The 15,901-nt window shown below is 43.5% G+C and overlaps 1 protein-coding gene across 14 annotated transcripts in view; it reads right to left on the bottom strand.

Moving 5' to 3' along the window:
• Window positions 1-15,901, bottom strand: part of NCK2 (NCK adaptor protein 2) — a 149,820-nt gene that overhangs the window by 32,115 nt on the left and 101,804 nt on the right. For 10 of the 14 annotated variants that reach the window (XM_017005105.2, XM_017005103.2, NM_003581.5 and 7 more), the window contains one exon: window positions 6,869-7,110. In XM_017005105.2, coding sequence (XP_016860594.1) covers window positions 6,869-7,094 — 226 coding nt within the window. In that variant the 5' untranslated portion in view covers window positions 7,095-7,110. Of the gene's footprint in view, window positions 1-6,868; window positions 7,111-10,260; window positions 10,312-15,901 lie in introns of those variants that run through there. The other 4 variants (NM_001004720.3, XM_011511992.3, XM_011511991.4 and 1 more) reach the window with 2 other exon arrangements.

The raw sequence follows: 15,901 nt of genomic DNA, 5'->3' as shown, positions 1-15,901 counted from the left end.
TGTTAAGCCGCCTGGTAAATTGCAAAGTGCTGTATAAATTGCAAGCTGTTGCTGCTCTCATTACATGTATTTATGCAGGCTAACCCTAACTAAAGGGCCTTTAGTTACCCGGGGCAGGGCTGCCTTCCCTGGTTGCAGTTTACAGCCAGTTACCCTGATCCCCACCTGCTACTTCTTGTAGCCATTATGCAGGTGGAAGAAAGGGAAGGGGGGAGCGGGCAGGAGGGAGGGAGGGAGGGAGGGAGGGAGGGAGGAAAGAATTCCAGGCCAGTCTGATCTTAAGATAAATTGCTGAGCATGATTCTTGTGGTAAGACTTGGTGTGCTTTAAAATGAGAGAAACTGGCCGGGTGCGGTGGCTCATGCCTATAATCCCAGGACTTTGGGAGGCTGAGGGAGGTGGATTATTTGAGGTCAGGAGTTCGAGACCAGCCTGGCCAACATGGTAAAACCCCATCTGTACTAAAAATACAAAAATTAGCTGGGTGTGGTGATACACACCTGTAGTCCCAGCTACTAGGGAGGCTGAAGCAGGAGAATCGCTTGAACCTGGGAGGTGGAGGTTGCAGTGAGCCGAGATTGTGCCACTGCACTCCAGCCTAGGTGACAGAGCAAGACACCGTCTCAAAAAAAAAAAAAAAAAAAGAGAAAAACCTCAACGGCACCAATAGCCACTATCACTTTCAGCAGGTAGCTATACCAGAAGGAAAGCGACTTGGCTCCTGGATCCAGCACACAGCACCTAATGTGGGCTTCCTTCCCCATAGAGAGGTGGTCAGAACCTGGTGCACGAGCCAGACTTCCTTTCACAAGACATGTGACGTCTGTATACACTGTCTTTAAAGATCGTGCATGATCTTAATGCTTTAAAAATGTTGTAAGGGCATCTATTGTTAAAACCAGGCAGATATTTATTTTTTACATAATGAGGAATTTGTTAGTCCACTTAAAATCTAAAATCAGACTCCATAAAGGTGTAAAAAGTAACTGAAGAATGTAATTCAAATTGCTCTCTTCTCCCTAGTAAAGGCATATCTATATTTTACTTTCACAAGAACTCAATTTAGAAAATGGTTGATAGTTTTCCGTAAACAATTGTTACCTTCACTGCTGCCTGGAGGGTTTCCACACCAGGTTTGACTCTCCTAAGCCACCTGCCCCAAGTCCCTTCTTTCGGGATCCACAACGACCTTGGGTTCCTCCAGTGTAGCAATAGTGCCCTTGGGGCTCCATCCACGGCTTCACTGAGTGGAAACTTGGAAGAAGTAGAGAGAAAATTCCCCATCTCGTGTGCCCCACAAGTTGCAGTCGCAAGGAATGGTTAATCCAAGCATGAGAGGCAATCCTGGTAAATGCACAGGCGGGCGGGGCATGGATCTACACTCCTCCATCTCCATTACAGCGCCGCCGGCATCCACGGCTCTCTATGGACCAGTGTGTTCTCCTCTCTGAGCTTTCCACGTTTCTTCATCCCCAATTCCTCCCCAGCTCTGCAGAGGAACATGGGATGCCCCTGCTCAAATCTTCAACTGTTTGTGATCACCCAGTGGAGATGCTTGAGTCCTGTGCACAGCCCAGTAAGGCCTCCCCATGCGGTTCTGACTACATGCTCGCTCATCCTCCATGCCCCGCTGTGAACTTCACTCCAGCAATGCGATGCCCCTCCTCATTCTGAGACGCCTACGGCTTAGCAGGTCCCTGAGCCTGTGTGGAACATACACACTACACCAGAGCAGGGGCTCTGTCCATCCTGACCTCTGGGACGGAGGCTGGCACTTGGTGGGTAGGGTCCCCTTGTGGATGCAGGAACTCTAAAAGTTCTGACATTTTGTTGTTCTGATGGTTGTTTTTGTTTTTTTATGGCTCATTTTTTGAGACAGGGTCTCACTCTGTGGCCCAGGCTGGAGTGCAGTGTTGCAATCACTGCTCACTGCAGCCTCCAACTTCTGGACTCAAGCAGTCCTCCCAACTGAGCCTCTTGAGTAGCTGGGACCACAGGCACATGACACCATGCTCTATTTTTTAAAAAATTTTTTTGTAGAGATGAAGTCTTGCTATGTTCCCCAGGCTGGTCTCAAATTCGTGGCCTCAACTGATCCTTCTACCTCAGCCTCCCAAAGCACTGGGATTACAGGCATAAACCATCGTGCCCAGCCCTGATTGTTGTTTTGAACTGACATTTTTCTAAAATAAATTTCTTAAAAACGAAAGTATAATACCAACAGAAATAAGCAGTCAGCTTTGCAAACTCCTCCAAGGCAGGTGTGCCCGTGAGCCTGCCCCACAGACCCCAGGGCAGATCACCAAGACAGAAGCCCCTGTACCTTCACTGAGGCTCTGCCTCCCTCCCTCCAGAGTACTGTAATCTTAATTCTAACACCAAGTGTTGCTTTTCACTGCTTTTGGATCTTACGTAACAATCCTACAGCTGTACTCCTTGTGACTTTGATCAGTTCAATTCCAAAGTTGATCCTAGCAGGGATATGCCTCTCAGAACCCTGTCAATTTCACCCACGGGTGCCAGCCACCCTGTCCCCATCCAAAAGCATCAGCTCAAACCAGTGCAAAGGCTGTTTCACAGTTAGCATTAGGGAGCCCTCTCAGTAGCCTCTGTGCTCCCAGGTCTGGGTTGGATCAGAGGCAGGAGTTCTGGGGCTGATCATGCAAGTTTCTAACCACGCTAGGCCTAGGTGTGGTCCTGTTGGGAGGAATGCTGAGGAGTGAGCCCTGGGGCAGGTGACGCTGGATGCAGAAGTCCCAGGTAGGTAGGGTGGCAGGGTGAGCCACGGGCAGGTGGGCCTGTGAACAAACCCTCCTGAGGATATGATCAGGTTGTAAATGGAACCGTAACTTTTTGGGTAATGTGAGTCAGCCCTTAAGCCTATGTTAACCACCGAAAAGAGAATTAACCTTTGGGGCTTTGCAAGGCTCCAGCTGGTGTCATAAAGTAGTAACAAAAAACTGCTCTTCAGTAGCTTGAGGGAAAATCTTTGAAAAATACCTCCCTGGGAGCAGCTTCCCCATCTCAAAAGATGTAGCATAGTGCTTTTACAACACCTCGCCTGCACAATTTTCTAAGTGGAGTTGCAGTATTAAGGCCAGACCTCAGCCCAGGACCGCTCTCCACTGAGCTCAGAGCTGTGCAGTCTGAGCCCTTCAAAAACATCAACTGGATTCTGCCAGCAGAAACAGTTCTTGATCATTGTTCCCTGTTATCTGTGGCAAAGTTCTGACTATTCATGATCATAAGCTGAATATGAGAAGAGATCCAGTATACAAATGTTTTGCCCATGTGAAAATAAGAGCTCAGGTTGCTTTTATCAATTTTAAATTATTGCAGAGAAAGAAAGCAGGTAAATACTTTCATGAGAGAGCTTTTTGTCAAAGGTTCTCACGTCTTTCCTCAAGCTACTCTTAACAAAGTACTGTATGTGACAAAATTAAGTTTATTAACAACTTCAGGACAGCAAATGAGTACAAGAAAGCAGGAGAGAACTACACAGAGTTAGGGTAATCTACAGTTGGAGATGCAATACACAACACTGTGGTTTTGCTGGGGAGGCCGGTGCCATTTTATTCCAAAGCAGGAAGGAATCTTACCATGGATTTATGAATTAGGTGGACTCCCAAAGCAGTAAAAATGGCAAATGTGGGTGGTGCCATGAGTTACTAGATTGATCCCAGGAGTTAAAGATCAGCCCAGGCAACATGGCAAAATCCTGTCTCTATAAAAAATACAAAATAGCTGGGTGTGGTAGTGCATGCCCGTAGTCCCAGATACTCGGGAGGCTAAGGTGGGAGGATCACCTGAGGTCAATACTACAGTAAGCAGGGATTGTGCCACTGCACTCCAGCCTAGGCAACAGAGTGAGGCCCTGTCTCAAAAAACAAAAACAAAAACAAACCGTGGTCAGTATACATGTGGTGTACTTTTGATGCTGTTTCCATGCCTAATACACAGCAGGGATAATTTCTGCAGGCTGCACAATTGGCCTAAAGTCATACTGTCATTCTGATGGTATACCTGTTTAATTATCATCACCAACAGTAATAGGAAGCCATGAACACTTTGGCTCCTATCTTTTTAGCAAAAAAAAAAACAAAAAAAAAACCCCAAAAAACAAAGAACAAAAAACAAAACACAAACACACACAAATGCAACTAATGAGAGGCAGGAGGGGCTATGGAAAGCATTCTCACTTTCCTTCTTGGCAACGCCACATCTATAAGCTTTGCACAGAAGTGCACAGAAGTTACTGCATGATGGTGAGACCTGATCGGGGGTGCCTCCTCTTCCACTGGATGCAGCTCAACAGGGCAAGGGAAAACTCATGCTGAGATAACAACATCCCTTTGTCCAACAAAAACCTCCAGGTGAGCATGATAAAGAGATCAAAACAAAAAATATATACTAACCATGGGGATATTTCTCCCTCATGACGGGGATACTGATCCCCAAGGGCCTTTTGGCTATGAAGATCAACTGCTATACTCAATAAAGGGGTTCAGAACATCATTTTTTCTGTATTTTTACAATAGCTAATGCTTAACAGGAATGTTTCCCAAGAACTGCTTGCCTGAACTGAGACCAAGCCTATGGGAGGGCTGACACTCTACAGAAGAGGATCTGACCTACTCAGCACAGGCCTAGAGGGCAGAATAAGAGCCAAAGGAAGGAAGAAAGTTAAAGAAATGTAAAAATCTGATTCTATTTAAGGAAGAGCTTTCTAACAATCTGTTTTCGCCAAAAATGGGATTGGCCTACTCGAACCGACGCTGCGCTCCAGCAGGGCTGGATGGCCATCTGTCGGGGACGGGCGCGGGCCCAGTGCCGGCTCCAGGACGGGCGGCTGGCTCAGTCTGAGAGCCTGGGAGTACACGCATTGGCTGAACCGATCACAGCTCATGAAAAAACTAAGCATGCTGGGCGGAAGATGTGGTTCATAGTTTTAATTTGTGGCTTTGTCTTTTCTGCTTCTAGAAAACTGAGGAAGAAAACTGACAAGGTTTTCAAGGGAATTTCCAGGTCACCCAGAGAACTCGCCTTGCCTTGTTCTACTTCCTACAAGTCTCTAAGCACTTCATGCTTTACTAGAATCTTGTAAATACAAAAAAAAAAAAAAAAAAAGAAGACACACAACAAGTCAACAACGTAACAATGTTTGGCATCACTAAAAAGATGGTACTTTGGTGAAAGGTAGAAATTGGAAAAATAAAGCTCAGGACAACCTTCAAGTTTTTCTCTATTCATGCTACCCTCTTTTTTTGGTAACCACAGTTAATTAAGAGTTATAAGCATAAAACAGTGTTTCTTTCAAGTGGCATGCTTATGTGGGGGAAGAAAAGATGAAAGGGAGGCAGCTCAGTGGAGAAGGAGCATATTGCTAATCAAAAATGAAATTTCTCCATCAGGCTGAGAATCTACGATGGCCAGTGAGCTGGTATGATTCATACGAAGTTCCATGTCTCACTTATCTCTCCAAATCATGGTAAGAACCTAATCCATACACAAAAATACTACCTAATACATGAAGGCTTTCGATGATTTTGCAGAGGGAGTTTAGACTTTTCAACATGGCAGAAAAGAAAAGATGAACATTTTGCAACACCCACCACATTTGGTGTATAATTTTACTTTCAGTTTTCCTACGTATTCCTCATTCTCCATTCCCCAAAAGAAAACAAATCCTCTTGTTAGAAATTTTTTTAAAACCCCAAGTAAATGTGACACAGGTGATAATATTAACTCATTTCACTAGCAAACCCTTAAGTGATAACCTGCAGTCTTGGATACAGACAACATTATACTCATAAGAAGGTAACAACGTTTTAAATGTCAGCTCAGATGAGTCATTCTTCAAAAAAGTCCTCGCAATTATTTTCTCAGGTAATCTGAGGCAGTAAATACTGTAAGTCAGTTCCGTGTGCATGTAAAGGCAAGACTGGATACTGTTAACTTTGTGTAACTCCAGGAGGGCACTGCCCATAACCTGACAACACCTGGGAAAACAAGAGGCACATGGGGAGCCGGGCACGGTGGCTCACGCCTGTAATCCCAGCACTTTGGGAGGCCAAGGTGGGCGGATCACAAGGTCAAGAGATCGAGATCATCCTGGCTAACACAGTGAAACCCCATCTCTACTAAAAATACAAAAAATTAGCCGGATGTGGTGGTGGGTGCCTGTAGTCCCAGCTACTCGGGAGGCTGAGGCAGGAGAATGGTGTGAACCCAGGAGGTGGAGCTTGCAGTGAGGCAAGATCGTGCCACTGCACTCCAGCCTGGGCAAGAGTGTGAGACTCCGTCTCAAAAAAAAAAAAAAAAAAAAGAGGCACATGGGGACAACAGTATGGCTGAACTAGGCCCCCACCATGGAGCGGCCTCTGATGTCACAAAGCTGCCCTCTTAGCTAACGGCACCCAGGACTGTGGTGTGATGTAGCATCCATTTCAGAGAGGGAAAAAGTGCTTTGGCTGTCCCCTGCTCTAGGCACGTAGGCCAAATGGACAGGATTGTATAAGAGAGAAAGAACTTCATGTCACGACACTGGCAGAGCTGGGTAGACTTAGAGGTGAGAATTCCAAGTCAGGCTCCTCTAACGTTTTGATACAAGGAGATACCTGTGCAGGGGTCCCAAGCACACAAAGTGTCTCCATACACAGGACCCCAAACTCCAGAATCTCCAGGAAATGAAAAACATCCTCTTTCTCCATCTTCATCTCTTAATTCTTAGATTATTAAAAAAGACAACTAGGAAGATATTAACTTTTAAAACAGACTTTTTTTTTTTTGAAACAGCAAACTAACTAGAAAGACGAACAGTGTCCCTTGAAATGCACAAGGCTTCCTCTCTCGAGGGTGAAACACTCACCTAGTGTGTCCTTCAGGTTCTTCACGAGGGAGCCCTTCTTCAGGCTGTTCTTCCGCTCCACGTAGTTGGACGGTACATAGCCCGTCCTGTTGGCCGCGTTCCTCACCCGCCACCACGTCTTGGAGTCGTCCAGCAACCACAGCCGCTCGTTCTTCTTGATGTCCAGCTCCTGGTCCTGCTGGGCGGTGTAGTCCCACTTGGCTATCACAATAACTTCTTCTGTCATCTTTCATGGAGTCCTTCTGCCAGCAAAACATTTGGAGATGCTCATTAGAGAACTACCCGGACACTTCATCCTTTGCACCAACTTGAAAAATTAGGCACTGACAGCTTTTATTACAACTCTGCAACCAGTTTTCTCCTGGGTCTTGAAATGCTCAACTTTAAAATGACCTTCTTTCAACAAGCTTTAGTATTTGGTTTAGAAACAGCAACCTTATAAAACAAATCTTATGTTACTGTTTGCTGTACATGGGGAAATCTGACCCTCTAACAAAAACAAACTTGAAAAAAATTCTAAATAACATTATAATTAAATGAGTCCATTTCATTAAGTAACACTGCCTCCTGATAACTGTTAGGTTGACACTCATTTTCTCAGGATATGCTGTGTCTTATAAACATATTTAATAAGTCAACATAACCAAACTACTCCTATAAATTAAAATTAACATTGTACTAATAACAAGGTGGTATCCTGGATTGGATCATGAAACAGAAAAAGAAAATTAATGGAAATACTGGTGAAATCAAAATAAAGTCTAAGAATAATAATAACAATAAATAATTGTCAATCTCTTAGTTTGGACAACACACCAGTAAGATGTTACTGCATTCACATAAGATGTTAACACAATGAGAAACCAGGTAAAGGGTATAAGGGAAAGTTCTGTACTATACTGGGAACTTTTTTATAAATATAAAATTATTCCCCAAAACTTTCATTCACACAAAAACCTGTGCAGAGACGTCTGTAGCAGCTTTATTCATAATTGCTCAAATTTGGAAGCAAGCAAAATGTCCTTTAGTAGGACACAGTTTATAGATACATAAACTGTGGTATATCCAGACAATGAAATATTATTCAGTACCAAAAAGAAATGAGCTATCAAGCCATGAAAAGACATAGCGGAACCTTAAACGCATATTGCTAGGTGAAAGAAGCCAATCTGAAAAGGCTACACACTGTGTGATTCTGACAGTTTATCCTTAACCAAACTTCAGCCAAATTCCTTTGAATCTTCTTCCCTTTAAGGCCTCAACTTTTGCACTTCCGTGTCCATCTCTGCATTGCCCAATTTTTGCAAGACTCTCCTGCTAAGGTGCTCTAGCTGGAATCCTCCACTCTCAACATCTGATCAGGTTCCTCATCCTCTACCATCCCCCAGGTGACAGCTGATCACCCTGTCCTGCCTTCAGAAGAATCCTGTTCGGTCAGTTTAGCCAGAATCCCCACGCTCCACCCCTGATGTTTCCTCTTAGTAATTTTCCACCCACCAACTCCCTTATTTTGCTCCTTGCCTATAAATGCCCACTCTTCCTTGTTGTCTTAATATTAGGAGTCAAACCCAATCTCTTTCTTGACTGCAAAACCCTACTGTAGTAGTCCCTCTGAATAAAATCTGCCTTACTGTTCTTCAACAAATGTCATGAATAAGTTTTTTCTTTAAAACGGTATGACATACTGGAAAAGACAAATCTATGGAGACAGTAAGAAAATAAGTGCTTGCCTGGGGCAAGAGGGAAGGGAGGGATGCAAGGGTGAAGCACAGGATTTTTAAGGCTGTGAAACTACTCTGCTCAATACTATAATGGCGGACACCTGTCATTATACATTTGTTAAAATCTATAAAATGTGCAACATCAAAAGTGAACATAACATTTTTCCAAAATGAAAAGTTTATCAAAACAACAATAAATAGATGCGTGTATTATATATCCAGTAAAGTCAATTTTGGAAGTAATAAATAGCAAAAGTGTGGCTGAATAAATAAAATAAATAATCAACTATTTTAGCAACTCTCTACTTCTTAGGTAGAAGATGAACCAATATTCTTTAAGCAGAAAAATTCAATATTCAGTCCTTAAACTAACTAGACATTTCTCCAAACTAGGGAGAAATGAATGATGAAAACACTCAGGACTAAAATCCCCTTCCTCCCTGACAGAGAAGTTCTCATTATTGTATAGGGATGACTTTAGGATTACAGGGGACCTATGCACATTGACTCCATGGAAGCATAAATACCATTTTTAAATAACATATTTTCTACTAGATGCTAAAAAAATTTTTTTATAAATAATACACGTTTCTTTCATGAATTAACTTCCAAATTTAAAGATAACAAACCTTTTGGGAAGGAGGAAAGCCTCTGCATAATATATACAATATTCAAGAGGATAAAGTTTACATGAAGCTCCTATCAGAACTGGAGACAATTTTGTTATCCACTTTCAGAAAATCTCAAGTGCATACCATGTAGAACTCACTAACCTGAGCTTTATGTCAGATTAGACTTTTGAAAGTCATAAAGGCAGATTTTCTAAGTAACAAGAAGAAGAGCAATAGCAGTAACAGGAATGGAATATTCAGAGAATATTCCATCTGAATACCACATTTCTTAATTACACAATTTCCACAAGGTTTTAACAAGAGCAGCCCATCGCTTAAGACCAGTCAAGATCTCGCCAATCAAAGCTGTTTATTAATATTTCCTACTGCATGAAGGGTAGTTAAGTAAAGAGCTGGCTGGGCAGGATCTATTTTCACGCACACCGAACATCATATAGAAGCTTTAAAAATTCCACTGCCTGAGCCCTACTGCAAGCCAATTATATCAGTATCTTTATGAAAGAGGCCTGAGCATCCAAGGAGTTTTACATCTTGCCATGTAATTCTTCCGAGCCTTAGATGGGAAAGGCCAAGTGAGAGAACCGAGCCACAAAACAACACCCCACAGAACTTCCCCTGGGCCACAACCCTGAGCTCTGCGAAATGCAATGGGAAGTAAATGTTGAGCAGTGATGCGCACCTGCCACATGCCAAGGCGTTTAATCTTGGGAAAACACCCACCTTTCAGGGAGGTGTCATCCTTTAGGAGACTGTGTCACAGAGACTGAGTGCCTTATTTAATGACAGTCAGGATTTGAGCCCAGGCCTGTGGACCTCCCCTCCCCGACCCGCCCAACCGTCCGATGCGTGGTCTGCATTTTGATAGGCTTATTCCAACTCAGAATTCTAAGATTCTAGGACACGTGAAAATTAAAAGTTCCCATACAACTAGGAAATGACTGCCTATTGGTTAGCCATAGCAATGGGTTTAACCCTATTTTAATGGCTCAATGACAGCCCCCATCAATTTAAACCAAACCAAAACAAAACAAAACCGAACCTGCTTCTGAAGACCAGTCAATCGACGTCCGGCTCGCTCACTTACTGCACTGACGCCCACCAATTCACCACCACCTCATATCAGAGGGCCAGCCAATAAACGACCACTTCACTCCAGTGAAATCCAGCAATCAAAAACTAAGTCACACCAGACGGCCAGCCAATCAACAACTGCCTCACTGCAGTGAGACTGCTTCAGAGGGACAGCCAATCAATGACAGCTCCATTGGCGTAATCACGCCTCAGTAGCTAAAGGTTAACCAATCCCTGAACGCTTCCGCTTCTGAAACTCCTGGAGCACTGGAAGCCACACTTCCCAAGACCCTTAGAAAGCTCAGCTCTGGCCGGGTGCGGTGGCTCACGCCTGTAATCCCAGCACTTTGGGAGCCCCAGGCAGGCGCTTCACGAGGTCAGGAGATGGAAACCATCCTGGCTAACACGGTGAAACCTGTCTCTAATACAAAAAGAGCAGCCGGGGGTGGTGGCACGCTCCTGTAGTCCCAGCTACTCCGGAGGCTGAGGCAGGAGAATCGCTTGAACCCGGGAGGCGGATGTTGCAGTGAGCCGAGATCGCGCCACTGCACTCCAGCCTAGGCGACAGAGCGAGACTCCGTCTCAGAAAAAAAAAAAAAAGCTCAGCTCTGTGCCGGACACCGACTTAGCAGCCCGGTATCCTCAATGAAGGAGGCACCCCCTACAGTTTTTTGTTCTGAAGCTGAGTTATGGCCATGCACTGATACAACAATGGCTCCCTCATTTACACAGCCGGGCTGGGCTGCTGCCCTCAGAGACCCCAAAACAAGTGGGAAGGAAGAGTGCCCCATCACCCTGTATCCTCACAGGCTTCGGTCTTTTCTCTCTTTGCCAACACAGGTTGGAAAGGCTGGCTGGAAGCCCATCTGGAGGGTCTTGTTGGCCGAGAGTTGAAGTTGCATCCCTTGGACGCTGTTTCTTAAAACCCAACAGGACCATGTGGTATTTTCAGTTAAGAGTAATTTGCTATGGTGCAGGATGGATTTGAACAGAAAGAGACTGCAGATGACCCATTATTCTACAATAAAATTAGACATACAAACTGACAAATTTCCAATGTGAAAAAGCCTCAACAGAAGAAAGTCTGAAAAAAAATGCATTCCAGCTAATTGACTACTGAAATTTTAAGTCAGAGATGGTATTCTGATTTAGTCTAGGCAAGACCATCATAGAAGTCTGATCCAAAGAACAACGCATGTTTTTCTCTCTAGCTTAGCAGTTCAAGGAAACCTAATTTTTGGCTTCATTACTACAGCTAGTTAAGTTTATTACTCAGGTCTAGCCCAAAGAGAGAAGGGCTACAAATTTGATATTATATAGCCAGATTACATCTTGTATGTCATGTGACCACTCTAAAACACAGCTTAGCAAGACCCCCAAGTTATGCTGGAAAAACAGCTCTCAGAACCTCATGAGCTAAGCTGCCTTTTCAAGTCTTGGATGGGAATGGGTTTAAAAACAAATAGGATAGGTATAAAAACTTTCTCAGCTCAACAGTTTTCACTAACGCCTAAAATACGAGCAATCCTACTCTAAGACCCTATTTTCTTTCTAAAGACAATCCTATGAACCGTATCTTGCTGGGTTAACACACTCCTGATAGTAGCCAGTGCCCCTACAACATTAAAAAATGGTCATAGAGATTTCCAAAGAGGTCACGGGGATCAAGGTGAACCAAATATTACAGAAGAAAGGAGTTAAGGGTCTGAGATTCAAGCTTAGCTGAACCATTTGTATGTTCTCCTTGGATTTCAGTTTCTTCTGTAAAATGGGACACCGCCACCTGCCTCGGAAGATACTTCTGATGCTCAGGAGAGACATGAATACAAAGTGCTTTAGAGGGCAAGGTTTAACATTTATATAGGTGTGGGCCTTACTGCCACCTTAGCCCAGCTGCCTCTTCAATAGCCCAGGGTAATACCTCATGAGGAGCTTGTAAACAAAGTCCTGAGGCCGGATGTGCCAGCATTAAGAGAGACTTAAGAATGGCAACTACAGTCATAATGAATACCCTCTGAATATTTATGTCATACCTGTCAGGAGGGGCCATGTTCTACCCATCTCTGCTTCATTTAACTAGGATTTACTGAGTTTTCTAAGCACCAGGTTCCTTGCAGAGTAAGACAGGCCCAGTGGCTGCTCTTCTGTGATTCAAGCCAGTGAACAAGCAGTACTGCTTCAGAGATACCCATCAAAGTGTCACTCTCCTAGCCCTCTTGTCTGACTTCCTGAAGAGCATTAGAGCATTTAGCACCAGAGACCACCTGGTCACTTACTTATTGTCTAGGAGGCCCCACTGTGTATTGACAATGGGTGTTTAGGCTTCAGCCACCTGGTTTAATGGGAAGCTGAAGGAGAAGGCAGACTGATGATTCCAGGTTAATATCCACCTGCCTCATTCACCTTTCCACTGACTAACCAATTTATCCCGCCACAGAGAAGACCAGAGTCTTCCCTCCCTCCTTCTTTCCTTCTTTCTGATGGCATCACAGAAAGGCATCTGAGGCTGGAGTGCAGTGGCACAATCACAGCTCACTGTAGCCTCCAACTCCTGGGCTCAAGCGATCCATCTGCCTCAGCCTCCTGAGTAGCTGTAGGTGTGCACCACCGCGCCCTGCTAGTTTTTTACTTTTTGTAGATATGGGGTTATCTACAAAAAATATCTATGTTGCCTAGGCTGGTCTCAAGCTTCTGGCCTCAAGGGATCCTCCTGTCTTGGCCTCTCAAAGCGCTGGATTACAGGTGTGAGCCATTACACCTGGTCTTGATTTCTTAAACTTAATTCAAAATATACGCAGGGAGACAAAAACAAGTCTAACATGTTACTTCCAGGATATTAACTTGAAATTTCAAAAATACATATGTGCACATGTGTGCATACCAAAATATATTTGTCTATGTGCAAATAATTGGTTTAGAGTTCAGTTAGTAGAAAAAAAATTGAGTCTATATGAAAAATACTGTCATCCCTACCTTGATTTTCAACATGCAGTCTGAATTATTCAAATAACACAATCTACTTCGCTGTGGCTCCTTAAGACTTTTTTCTTTGTAATATCTCATGCCTTAAAATGCAACTGATCAATTTATGGAAACTCATTCAAATACAGGCTTTTAGTAGATATCATTTGGGAAGGGGCTTGTTTCAATATTTTACTGGGGAGGGGTAGAGGAAGGCAGGCCTAGTTGAAAGAAGTTTACTGAATCTAAAGCACACATCCACTAACTCAGTTCCTCTCGCCCCCTCTCTCTTGCAGCGTGTTGGAGGCAGGCCGTGTGCACTGCTATTCTCGGGAGCAAAGAAGCATCTTCTCTGTGGCTGCTCCCACTGAGCATGGCTGACTCTTACAGGGCAGCAGCTTCTGGTCAGTAAGACCTTTGCTCAGTATGTTATTTTGGAGAGAGTCCTTTCATGATCTGTCTTCTGTTTTTATTGGGTAATGGTCAAAATCTGCTGCCGGTAAACTCTCTTCCGACCGTTGAAATTACAGAGGTTTCCTCTGTGGACACTGATAGGACCACTTTTGTGAAAGATCCTCTTCAGCTGCAGAAAGCCAGGGTTTGAAAAGCCAGCTTCATATCAACCATCTGGGTGACTTTGGGGGAAGGTGCTTGACCACTCTGCCCCCCATTTCTGTGTTTGCAGATGGGTCAGAGCTTCGGTGAGGATTAAATGAGCCAGTCTACAGGAAATACCTAACACTCAGTCTGTGCTGGACAAGTGTTAGCCATTATTGCTCTGCTAATGTCCACGTAATGCCCAGTCATCACTAGGCTCAATGGCTTGAACATAAGGTTCACGGGGACTCAAAAACGTATGTGCAATAGATTATGTCATTGAAAAACAGAAAACTTAAACAGAAAGATGTGCCAACACTCAAAGGTAGTAAAATTGGGATGACATAGTTCTGTGAGGTTTTACGAAGAGATCCCAATAAGTCTTGGGTCACAGCTCCCTTTTTTTAATGCTCCCAGTGTGGCTAATGCTAATGCTATCAGCTTGTATCTAGCTAGCCTAGAAAAGCTTTGATGCAACCACAGCATCTAACAGAATACATTTTACAAACAAAGAGGTGTAGTCAAGCTATTATAAAATGTAAATTTAAACTATTTGTTGTTCATTTTAGAGAACCAGTCAATGAAAAAATTATGCTTAAGTACTTGGGATGGGTGATTATCCAGTGAATTCTCCTCCCTCTTTGCCATCTGCTCCTTCCCTGATGTACCCTGCGTGTCCCACCAGGCCCCTCTCCCACCCTGGGAGCCCCCTGAAAGCTCATCCACTTCCCATTGGCTGGCTGGCTCTTGTTCCAGGTCTTTACTTCTAGGGAGGCCAGTTCCGCTGCACACCTGCATTTCCACCTGCCCACCGGGACACAGGCCAGGACCCTACAGCGGCATTCACCACTGCTTAAACAGTAATTATAGTACATATTATTCAGCAAAAGTTCAAGCACACAATATCCCACATCATTTCTTTTCTACAAAGTTGTGATAAAATATATTTAACAAAGTTTAACATTTTAACCATATTCTTTTTTTTTTTCACCCAACCCCTGCAGATTAACCATTTTTAAGTGTACAGTTCAGTGGCCTCAAGTACATTCACCCTGTTGTGCAAACATCAACATCATCTATCTGCAGAACTATTTTCATCTTGAAAAACTGGAATAGGTACCCACTGAACACTAACTCTCAATTTCTCCCTTCCCCCAGTCCCTGGCAACCACTATTTTACTTTCTGTCCCTGCGAATTTGACAACTCCAGGTACCTCATTTAAGTGGAATCACTTGTCCGTCTATTTGTGACTGGCTAATTACACTTAGCATGATGCCTTCCAGGTTCATCATTTGGTAGCATGTGTCAGAATTCCCTTAAGGCTGAATAACATTCCAATGTATGCATATACCACATTTTGTTGGTCCGTTCATCCATCACTCGACATTTGTGTTGCTTCCACCTTTGGGCTGTTGTCAATAATGCTATGAACATGAGTATGCAAATATCTCTTCACGTCCCTGCTTTCCAGTCCATTGGGTGTATACCTAGAAGTGAAATTGCTGGGTCATATGGTAATTCTAGTTTTAATTTTTTGAGGGATTGCCCTAATGTCTTCCACGGAGGCTGCATCTACAATTCCACCAACAGTACACAAGGGTACCAAGTTCTCTACATCCTTGTCAACGCCTGTTATTGTCTACTTTTTGACAGCAGTCATCCTATTGGGTGTAACGTATACATCAATTTCTTAACTGAACAGTATTTGTACTGCATCCTCAATAGAATTTATTAGCACATAGCAATTCTCAATAAAAAGAAAAATTTTATACTGATCATAAAGATCATCTACAGTTTTCTGCTACACCCTCCTATTATTTTTTTTTTTTCAGTGAGTATCTACCATTAATTTATCTTTACTGCCAGGATCAGGTTACCCCTCAAAATTATAGAAGAAAAATGCCTTAAAATGTGAGTTTATCATCCAGTTTTCAGGAGTTCATCATTGAGCAACTCATTTACTCTCTGAAATGCCAAGACACACTAGCGTTCTGCAGACTAGACTCTAAGTCAACATAGCTCATTAGTGTCTGGGAAATTTTACAGAAAA

Source organism: Homo sapiens, chromosome 2 (assembly GCF_000001405.40).
Source record: "Homo sapiens chromosome 2, GRCh38.p14 Primary Assembly".
In the NCBI taxonomy this organism is placed as follows: Eukaryota; Metazoa; Chordata; class Mammalia; order Primates; family Hominidae; genus Homo; species Homo sapiens.
Note: the sequence above shows the minus strand (reverse complement) of the source record. Positions and strands in the feature narration are given on the sequence as shown.